This window comes from Homo sapiens, chromosome 1, assembly GCF_000001405.40.
Source record: "Homo sapiens chromosome 1, GRCh38.p14 Primary Assembly".
Taxonomy (NCBI): domain Eukaryota; kingdom Metazoa; phylum Chordata; class Mammalia; order Primates; family Hominidae; genus Homo; species Homo sapiens.
Genome location: NC_000001.11, coordinates 143395396 through 143406663, shown reverse-complemented (window position 1 = coordinate 143406663; position 11268 = coordinate 143395396). Strand labels below are relative to the sequence as shown.

The window sequence follows — 11268 nt, the reverse complement described above, 5'->3', positions numbered from 1 at the left end:
TTCCAAAGCACCCTTGCTGTGCCAGCCTCTGATTGCTGGTTATAGGGAGGTCTGGGGTAGTCCCAAAAGCTGGGATGTCTAAGGCAGCTGGGGTCAGTCAGGAGGCTCAGGGCAGTGGCAGGAAAATATTTTCCTCCCTGGTAGAGCCACAGCGGGGTATCCAGGCTGAATATTATTGGCGAGAAGGACCATGGCACAGCACCAAGACCTGCAGGACAAACTTTGTTGGAGCTGAATCCAGAAAAACAATCTTCTTCTAAACCACTCTCCTGCCCCTCATTTAATTATTGTGCTTTTGGGTGCACTTGGACTACTCTGAAACATTCAGAACTCTGTCAAAAAAAAAAAAAAAGACCTCTCTCCTCAGCACCTCTCCCACTTGGGCATCAGTCTTGGCTTCCTCTCTACTTGCTTTCACTTGCTCCTTGTGGCAGAGATTGCCCTCAGCAGATCCCTTCCCTTAGGTTCCTTGCTGTCAAGTGGAGGCTAGGGAGCGAGATTATGGCCAATAGAATGTGGGCGGAACCACAGATCTGAGCCTGAGGAACATCCCACAGGACCCTGAGCTCTTCCTCCAGCTGCTGCAGTGGCCTTGGAAGCCATGTCTGTTCTAGAAGTGTAGCTACAGATGGAGAAGGCCCATGTGCTAGCTAGTCTCCAAAGATGGCGTATCAGGCCATTCTTGCGTTGCTATAAAGAAATATCTGAGATGTTAATTTATAAAGAAAAGAGTTTGTATTGGCTCATTGTTCTGCGGGCTTCACAAGAAGCATGGTGCTGGCATCTGCTTGGCTTCTAAGGAGGCCTAGGAAGTTTACAATCATGAGCAGGCACATCATGTGGCCAAAGCAGGAACAAGGAAGAGAGAGTCGGTGGGTGTGGGGAGGGACATGCCACACACTTTTAAATAACCAGATCTCACAAGAACTCACTATCTCAAAGACAGCAGCAAGCCATGAGGGATCTACCCCCATGGTCAAAACAACTCCCACCATGCCCCAACTCCAGCACTGGAGACTGCAATTTAACTTGAAATCTGGGTGGAGATAAATATCCAAATTATATCAGAGGGCCTTCCCTCGAACCAAACCTCCTGGTTTCCAGGTCCCCTTTCTTGCTGCTTCTGGGCTGGCCTCCTGGGAAGCCAAGACTGCAGTGGCTCTGATGCTGCATGGGGGCTGAGGCTCAGCCATGAGGAGGCTCGCAGCTGCCACTTTGGTCTTTTGGAAACTTTGCTCATGAGAGTCTCCCCGTTGGGCCGCAGCCACCATGCTGAGAAATGAGGGTCATGTGGAGAGGCCACATGGAGGTTTTCTGGTCTAGAGCACAACTGAGCTCCCAGAAAGCAGCCAGCATCAATGGCTGGGCATGTAAGCCAGCTGGCATGGACATTCCAGACCAGTCTGTCCTTTTGTCACCTTAGCTACAGGGAAGGCCCATGACCCCAGAAGTGCCCATCATTATGCTGAATTCCCGAGCCTCAGTGGTCCACCGAGGTGTGGAAGCATGTCTCACAAGGGTCAGATGGAGTTCTGGCCTGGATTGATGTGTAGAAGCTGGAGAGAGAAGCTGGGTTTCTTTCAGCTGGGGTGGCTCTGCTGGGATGTGGTGGGCCTTTTGGGTTTCCAGGTGGTCATTTTCCTTATTTGCAGTAGAAGGAACGAGGCCCATATAGAGAATAGAGCAAATTAAAAGGAGAGAAAGAGAAAAAAGTAAGGAGAGAGGGAGAAAGAGAAAAAGAAGGAAAAGAAGAACGGAGGGAAGGAGGAGAGGAAAGAAAAAGAGAAGGAAAATGAGAAGGAGGAGAGGAAGAGGAGAGAGAGAGAGAGAGAGAAAATAACTTACTTGAACCTCCAAATTCAGGCATACCATGGTCTTTGCAGTTATAAAAATCAATAAGTCACCCTTCAGCTGAAACATGTCTAAGTGGAGTTTCAGTTGTTACAACTGACAGAGCCCTGCCTAGCACAAGGAATAAACAATGTTCAGCAGTGGCATGAGAACAAGGGACAGCCTGTTTGGTGGGCAGCATGGCAAATGACTGTCTGGAAAATATGATGCTTGGGCTGGAGGGCAAAGTGGAATTCACCAGCATGCAGGGTGGAAGTACGACCCTAGCAGACGGAACAGCACTGGCAAAGGCTCAGAGGCAAGAAGCTTTACATGTGAAAGGATACATTTTTAGAACACTAAACATTCTCCCTGTTATCCAAAACACTGAGTTTCTCTTCATTTTTTGGCCAGGTGTGGTGGCTCACGCCTTTAATCCCAGCACTTTCGGGGCTGAGGTGGGTAGATCACCTGAGGTCAGGAGCTCAAACCAGCCTGACCAACATGGCAAAACCCCATCTCTACTAAAAATACAAAAATTAGCTGGGTGAGGTGGCAGACACCTGTAATCCCAGCTACTCGGGAGGCTGAGGGAGAAGAATAACTTGAACCAGGAGTCAGAGGTTACAGTGAGCTGAGATCGTGCCACTGCACTCCAGCCTGGGAGATGAGACAGAGCAAGACTATCTAAAAAAAAAAAAAGACTGAGTTTCTCATCATTTTTTGAAATTGAGAGTTTTCTCTGTATCGATAAGACCTTATAATGCAAAATATAATATAATATGCAGCTAGGTCTCCACAGCCTTCAGTCTTTCCCAGGGAGGGTTCCATGAGCTGCTTGTCTGGTGGGGATGGTGGTTTTGAGCAAGTAGTTGGTGTCCTGTCTTACCCAGGCTCTTTCCCACAAAGAGTTGGGAAGAATTAAAAACTACTGGAAACCAAGATCTCTCCCTGATGTTGACTTTCAGAGCTCAGCCTCATCAGCACAGGCTCTAATCAGCTAAGCAGCTGCCTCGTTTCATCCAGCCAGAGCCCTGATCTCAGGGGATGATAGTGAGGAAATGATCCTTTCACATGCCTGGCTCCTGCAAAATTGTGCTAAGAGGATTTTCCTCAAACAGTTTAGCACAGAGCGAGGTTTCCTGATCCAGTTAGCAAATATTCTTCTGTTTGAACTCACTGACCCTCCTTTTTCTGAAGATGTATTTTAAATTGGATTTGCTTCACTGACACAAATGGAAAACTTGATAAGAAAATCGGTGGGATTTTGCTGCACCCACTGCTGATATCAAGACTGAACTCTGTATTATAGCAAGAAAAGCTCTGTTCTGTGGCTACAGGATACATGCTGAGCTCCCAGCCACCAGCCCTGCCAATGTGCTCAGCTTGGCACAGGGCAGGGAGCAGGGTAGAGGGGAGGGGATGGGGAGGGGCAGGTGGAAAGGCTCAGGTGATGAGCCAGCCACATCACCTCAAGCACAGGACCCCTGATGGTGGCCCTAGATCCTCCTCTTGAAATCCAAAGCTCAGTCCCTCTCCCCAGTTCAGGAGCAAGGAGGTTTCTGGCAGGTTAAAATGGCTAACTCAAGAGCTTGCCACCTTTGAAAGGCAGCACTGTGTAGACAGAGGCAGAAGGATGGGCTTACGAGACAGTCCTGGCTTCAAATCCTTCTCTGACTTACCAGCTCTGGAACCTTAAGCAAGTGACGTAACCTCTCTAAGCCTCAGTTGCCTCATCTTTAAAATGGCATCCCTAATCCTTACTATGAAGAGATATCATGGGTAAATGAGATGCTGTACTTACGAAAGGGCAAGTCCCTGTATTGGTCAAGTGTTTTTACAGCATTGCTGCATAACACACAGCCCCAGGGGCTCAGCAGCTCAAAACAAGTGTTTATTTCTTGCTAATAATTTGCAGTGAGCTGGGAAGCCTTGCCTCGGACTGGGGGCCAGGCTCTGTTTGCTTCTGTGTGTCTCATTCACAGGCCAGTGGTTCCCCGGAGCTTGCTCTTCTCATTGTGCAGGGGTAGGGTCAGTGCTGCCACCCAACACCACATTCAGTTAGAGCCTCCAGTCAGACCAGGCATGCACTAACTCTGCTCATGCATCTCTAGCCAAAGCTGGTCATGTGCACAGCAAGAAATCTGCTCTGTCCTGTCCACAGGGAAGTCGCAGGAATGTGGAAAGGCCAGGAAGGATTGTGAGCCAATAATACATCTTGACAATCCACAATAGATGGAAGCTATTATTGATTCATTATCTCAAAATGGCTCCACCAGCCAACCCCTTCTATCCATCCCCAGTGCTACCTCCTAATTGAGGTCCTCGACGCTTTTTGCTTGCATGGCTGCCAGAGCCTTTGGGCAGGTCTCTGTGTTGATGTGTTCACCCCCACTCCTATCTCCTCCATCCAACGCTCTACCACCAAGGCAATCCTCCTAAAACACAACCACAGTGTTCTTCACACTCCCTATGATTCCCTGCCACCCACATTATTAATCATTAATCCAATTAATAAAAATTAATGTACTAATCCCCAGCTCCTCAGTGTGGCCCTTCACAATCTGCTTGTCCAGCCTCGTCTCTTGCCTCCCCAGCTTTCCCCAGCAGACCCCTCTCCCACCCATTCCAATGCCATCCTCTTCTCCCAGCCTAGTTCTTTCAGGCCCTGTGCGTTTGCACTTGCCCCTGTCTGAAATGTCCTTCCCACTTCTTCTTGAAGGGGGTGAGTGCCAACTCACCTTTCCAACCCCACACCAATGCACACCAGGATCTCCCCAAGACTCCAGGGTAGTAGTCACCATCTGTATTTCTGCAGCACACTGCACCTGCCTCTAGCACAGCTCGACAGCCCACTGAAGTGAATGATCTCTTCGATCGGTGCCGACTTGCCTTTCTTTCCCAGCTGCAAACCACCCAAGGTGAAGTCATCTTAGCCTCTTGGAGTCAGCCTGACTGGGGTGAACCCATTGATATGTATTGCATAAATGAACATATCATGACAGTAGTGATGAGGGATCTCCAGCTATCCGTGTACTCTCTATGCTTCCCAGACTCTTTGGCAGTTGCACTGGGTACTGGCTGAGTTCTGGAAAACAGGAATGTGAGCAGAGTGCTGCAGATCTCCTTGTCAGGAGCACCTAAGAACTGGCATGACTCTACACCCTCTCTCCTTCTGCAATGACCTCGTGTCAAGATGGCAGACCCGCAGAGATGAATGTGCCTGGATACCTGAGTCACCAGGTGGAGGAAACTCCCATTGACATGCATCACACTCCACATATGAAACCCTTCTTTTTCTGCACTGTCACTGGGGTTAGGGATTATTACTCACTGCAACTTAGCCTAGCATTAAGTTGCTTGACTAATACAAGTTTCAATAAATGTCGCTTCATTTCCCATGGCTTCTGACTGAATGCTGTGCAATATCCACAAACCATCCAGATTGTGGTTTATAAATACCACCCTTCACTAAAAGGACTCAGAGCTCCTTGTAGAAATGGCTGATGCTAAGGCTGGGGTAGGGAAGTACAAGGTGAGCCCAGAGTGCTGTGTGGTGCCAGAAAGCAAGGAAGCATTTAAAAAATGACAGGGACATGTCAAAGGACACATCAATCAACTTCAAGGGGCTTCCACTGGCCAAATCTAGGATGATGTGAGCATCCAAATTAATAATGATAATGGTAGATTATAGTCTATTGAATAAAATGGGAACCTATAGCTATAGAAAGAAAGAAAAGGGAAGGAAGAAAAGAAAGAAGAAGAGAGGGAGGGAGGGAGAGAGGGAGGGAGGGACGGAGGGAGGGAAGAAGGAAGAAGACTTTCTTACAGTAGAATGCCAATGAATAAATACAGAGGGAATAATAGAAAACTCCATTTGCAAACATGATCATAATAGTTTATTCAAGGAAGAATCATCACTGAGTGAAAATTTAGGAAGGTAAAGTATGTTTTCATTGTCTCATAGCACTTCCACTCATATGGTTTATTAATTGCAAAGAGAAAAAGTGGTAACTTAACAGTAGAGAAACCCAGCAGGTCCTCCCTTAATGAGCTGAACAAAGTTAACAACACCAGGAATAGGACAAATGGGTGCCAAGTGTTTCTTGATGTGATACACTGAGAACACAGCATTGCTTCTGTAGCATTCCGGTCCCTGGAGGAAACATCAGACAAACACAGATGGAGGGACCTTCAAGGACTGACCTGAACTGTTCTTCGGCGTCAACCCCATGATAGACAAAAAGAGGCAGAGGAACTGTTCCAGATTAAGGGAGACTAAAAAGGTATGACAGCTGGATCAGGGGAAACGTGCCTTAAAGGGCATTATTGGGACTGTTGGCGAAATTTTAAGTGAACTGTATATTAGACAATTATCAAGGACTACACGATTGTATGGCATCAACCTCAAATTCCCCGAACTTGAGCACTAGAGTCTTCTTGTTCTGATGGAATATGTTCTGGAATGTTTAAGGGAGAGGAGAAGGATGCCTGCAACTGAATTTCAAATGGTTCAGGGAAAGATAATAGAGTAGAATAGACTATATAGATGGAGAAAGTAAATGTGGCAAATAACAATTGGTGAAGGTGGGTGAAGGTCATGAAAGTTCTTTGCCTTACAATTAATTCTTCTATAAGTCTGAAATTATTTGAAAATAAGAGAAATGCTTTCAGCTGTGAATAACAGAAAGCCTGACTACTTGTGGCTTTTGCAATAAAGACATTTAGTTATGTAACATAACAGGATTTAAGAGGAAGAAGGCAAGGACTTGAAAAGGCTCAGTGATGTAGCTGAGGCCCCAGATTCCTTTTATCATTTTGTCCAAAGGCTCCACCTTCCTGAATATTACTGCTTTATACCCTTGGAGCTTCATGATCACAGGATGGCTGTTATAGCTCCAGCCATCATGACCAAGTTCAGACTCCAGGAACAAGATGGAGGAAGCTATGTCAAGGGGGGCTTTTCTTGATGTGTCTCTCGCCTTTAACCAGTGAAGAAAATCTTCTTAGAAGGACACAGCAGACTTCTCCTTATGTCTCATTATCCAGAAGTGGACCACAGGACAGTCCCTACTGTAAACTCTTTCAAGTATCAGGCAAAAAGGAACAAAAGGCCCCAGCCTGGCTTAAACCAACCTTGAGTCATCACCTGACACTGGACACTTTGTTTATCCAAGCAAAATCAGGATTTTCTGTTAGCAAGCAAAGGAACTGCTCATGGGTAAGAAATTAACAGTGTGTGCCATAATTCATATTTGTCGCCAAGCATCTTCTCAGGCTGACACTGTGCCAAACAAGGGATTATAGAGATGAAGATGCAGCTTCCATCCCTGAAAGCTCACAGTCCATTCTCTCAGGGCAATCCCGGTAACCTCCTCATCACAATCATCCATCCAGATCATGGAAGTCCCTTTACTCCCCAAATAAGAAGGAGTAGCAGGAAAAAGTGACCTCATCAAGCTGACTCGAGTTTTTCCAAAAGCAAATAAATAAATAAATAACTTTTTAACCTGCACAGCCAAATATCAAATAAATACATGTGTGTTTTTTGGGGGGGTTGGGGGGTGTTTTTTTTTCTGAGCTTCCTGTGGTATTGAAACTATCTCCCACTTCCTCCTTTTTGTCTCAAAAGATCTTAAGCATTGGGCCAGACACAGTGGCTCCTGCCTGTAATCCCAGTACTTTGGGAGGCCGAGGTGGGCAGATTGCTTTAGCCCAGGTGTTCGAGACGAGTCTGGGCAACGTAAAAATAGCCCATCTCTAAAAAAATAAAATAAAATAAAATACAAAAATTAGCCAGGCATAGAGGTGGATGCATGTAGTTCCAGCTACCTGGGAGGCTGAGGTGGGAGGATCACTTGAGCCCCAGGGGTTGAGGCTGCAGTGAACCATGATCATCACATCTGGGCAACAGAGCAAGACCCTGTCTCAAAAAAAAAAAAAAAAAAAATCTAAGCATCCATTCATTTTAGTTCATTTGAGGATAATTATTGATCTCCTCTTCTACCACCACTAGGGATACAGAGGAGGAGCAAACAGACATTATTCCTTTCTCTTGAGGCTCACAGTTAATTGGTAAAGAGGGACCACTATTCAGAAAGTCCCACACATCATTGTATGATCAAAAGCTATGACAGATGCAAGGAAGGAAAGCTGGATGGTGTTGTGAGGCTTCATGGCAGGGACACCAGACCTGGTCTAGAGGTGAGGGAAGACTTCCCTGAGGCACTGGCTTGAATGGAGAGCTGAAGGAGGAATAGGAATTCACTAGAAGAAAGAAGAGGAAGCAGCAAGTGCAAGGCCCTCCTGCAGCAGGAGAGAGCATAGCACATTCAAGGAAAAGAAGCCAGCAGTGTGGATTACAGAGGAAGAGTGCAGCACGAGGGCAGTGGCTTGAGATGAGGCCAGAGAGGAGGGCACGCAGGACCAAGGGGACCAAGGCAAGGATTTTGGTGTCCATCAAATTGGAGAGTGCTGAGCAGGGGAGGGGTAACCGTGTAATTGCCTTTCTCAAATGCCCGTTTTACCGTAGCAAGGATAGACTGGTAGAAGCAAGGGATGAACTGGAGAGATGAGTGAGGAAGCTGCTCCAGAAGACCCATCAGGAGATGATGGTGACAGGGAATTGAGTGGTAGGAATGACAATGGGAAGAGATGAGCGGAATCCAGGTATTTGTGGGTAGAAGTGGCAGGTGTGGCTACTTATTGGAGATGGGGCTGTAGAGCTGTGAAGGTGTGAGTCCTTTACTTATCCATCTTAAGGGTCACGGCCAACACTCCTATAACAAAAGACACATTAACAAGAGAAAAACAGAGCAAATTTATTTAATCCAAGTTTTATGTGACATGGGAGGCTTCAGAAATGACAACCCAAAGGCCCAGGGAAAACTGTTAATTTTTATGCTTAGATTAGATGAAGAATGGACAGCCAGATAGAAATGTGATTGGACAAACGGGTATGACCTACTGGGAACAGACTGAAAGGGGACCCAGCAAAACTGTCTGCTCAGATTCTTCTCAGCCTCTCTGTGTAGCCTCCATTCCTCCTGGGTATGGGGCGGGACCCTTTCTGAAATGAGAGTTTTCAAAGGAGAAGGAGAAGATAGAGAGTGACCTTTCTAGGTTTTATGGTTTGCTTTAGCAGGAGGGTTTCTAGGTTCTATGACCCATCTTGAGGAAGATAAATTCTGGTTTCTGTGACTCACTTTGGAGGATGAAGGCAAGCAGAAGAGAGGGTCTGAGGAGGTTGGAAAGACCTTGCTTCTGAGTTCCTTCCAATGTCCTTCAGTTCAAAATACTCAGGCTGAGGCACCACGCTTTGGGGTGTCATGTTCTAAGCCCCGACAGCATAAGGGCAGCGTTGAGACAGCCTTTGCAGCCTGGCCTGCATAATGGACAGACGCTAGTGCAATCCATAGGGTTGGAAATGTGGAGGGATAACTGAATGGCGATGCCGGGAGCCTTGAGTTCAGTGTTGGACACATTGAGTGTAAAGTGCCTTTGAGACACCCAAGTAGGCTGTTGGAAATAACCAGCCTGGAGCTGAGAGGTCAGGTTGAAAAGCAGTGTCTGGACGGCAGGTGGGCCCTTGGCCATGAATTAGACCACCAAGGAGAGCAAAGTGAGAAGTCAAGAGGACCTAGTAGGGCCCCTGAAAACTCCAAATGGCCAAGAAGAGGCAAAGAGCTACAAACAATCCTGAGAGGGGGCCGAGGGCAGAGCCACCTGGAGGGAATGTTCATCAAAGTCACACCCTGCCCCTGCATCCGCCCCTCACTCTGCACATGGGAGCTCAAGAAGCCAAGGGGCTTGCTCTGTACCCGGGTCACCCAGCTTCATCCTGGGCAAAATGAGATCACAGTCCCACTCTCATTTGCCCTCTTTTCTGCTTTTGTTTTTTGTTTTTTTTTTCTTTTATGCTCTTTTTCATTTTTTTCTGGGTACACATTAGGTGCATATATATGTGAGGTACATGAGATGTTTTGATACAGACATGCACTGTGAAATAAGCACATCATGGAGAATGAGGTGTCCATCCCTGAAGCATTTATCCTTTCTTTCTTTCTTTTTTTTTTTTTTGAGATGGAGTCCAGCTCTGTTACCCAGGCTGGAGTGCAATGGCGTGATCTCTGCTCACTGCAAGCTCCGCCCCCCAGGTTCATGCCATTCTCCTGCCTCAGCCTCTTGAGCAGCTGGGACTACAGGTGCCCGCCACCATGCCAGGCTAATTTTTTTTGTATTTTTAGTAGAGATGGGGTTTCACAGTGTTCACGGGGATGCTCTCGATCTCCTGACCTCATGATCCGCCCACTTCGGCCTCCCAAAGTGCTGGGATTACAGGCCTGAGCCACTGCACCCGGCACATTTATCCTTTCTAATACCAACAATCTAATTACAGTCTTTTAGTTATTTGTAAATGTACAATTATTAATGACTACAGTCATCCTGCTGTGTGATCAAACAGTATATCTTATTCATTCTTTCTAACATCATCCCCACCTGCCCTCAGCCCCCCACTCCTCTTCCCAGCCTCTGGTAACCACCTTTCTGCTCTCTAGCTCCATGAGTTGAACTGTTTTGATTTTTAGATCCCACAAATCAGTGAGAACACGCAATGTGTGTCTTTCTGTGCCTGGCTTGTTTCACTTAACATAATGACCTCCCATTCCATCCATACCATTTTCTGCTTTTGTACAAGGCATCAAGGCATAAAAAGCAGGGCAATGGGACTCAATGGATTTTCCACGCTGCTCTAACACACTACTGCAAACCTGGCAGCTTCAAACAACACAGATGTATTCTCTCATAGTTCTGGAGGTCACAAATCCAAAACGAGTCTTCCTGGACTAAAACTGAGGTGTTGCCAGGACCCTTGGTAAAAGCCCTAGAGGAGAATCCATTCCTTGCCTCTTTGGTGGCTGCTGGCATTGTGAATTGTGGGCACATCACTCCAATCTCTGCCTCCACGGTCGCATCACCTTCTCTTCTGTAGTCGAATCTCCTCTGCCTCCCTCTTCATCTATAAGGACACTTTGTGATTACATTGCGTATCCACACAGATAACCCACGATAGTCTCCCCGTCGCAAATCTTTGAAGTAATCTCATCCACAGAGTCTCTTCTGCCAACATCCCATTCACTAGTTCTGGAGGTTAGGACGTGGACATCTTTGGGGGTTATCATTCCCCCTTTCACAGGCTATCTGGGCTGTATACAGAACCAGAGATCTGAGAATCATCTTGGCGGCCTCACTCTGTGAGCAGAGAAACGTGTCTGTGCTCAGCAGCAATCCCTGGAGGCAGAGACTGGAAATTACACCTGCAACCGTAGTAAGAGCTTGCCAGGGGCCGGAATGGGTGCCATAACTAGAGCTGTACAGGCATCCACCTCAATTCTCTCAGCGGCCCTTTGAGGTCGCTCTCTTACTGCCACCAAGGTG

At 46.9% G+C, this 11268-nt stretch overlaps 1 long non-coding RNA gene across 4 annotated transcripts in view; it reads left to right on the top strand.

Moving 5' to 3' along the window:
- LOC107985200 (uncharacterized) overlaps positions 1–11268 on the top strand; it is a 42281-nt gene that overhangs the window by 18099 nt on the left and 12914 nt on the right. The window contains exon 3 of one of the 4 annotated variants that reach the window (XR_001738208.2): positions 4884–5233. The exons of the other annotated variants lie outside the window; for them this stretch is intronic. This is a non-coding gene — a long non-coding RNA (uncharacterized LOC107985200). Of the gene's footprint in view, positions 1–4883; positions 5234–11268 lie in introns of those variants that run through there. 4 annotated transcript variants of the gene reach the window in all.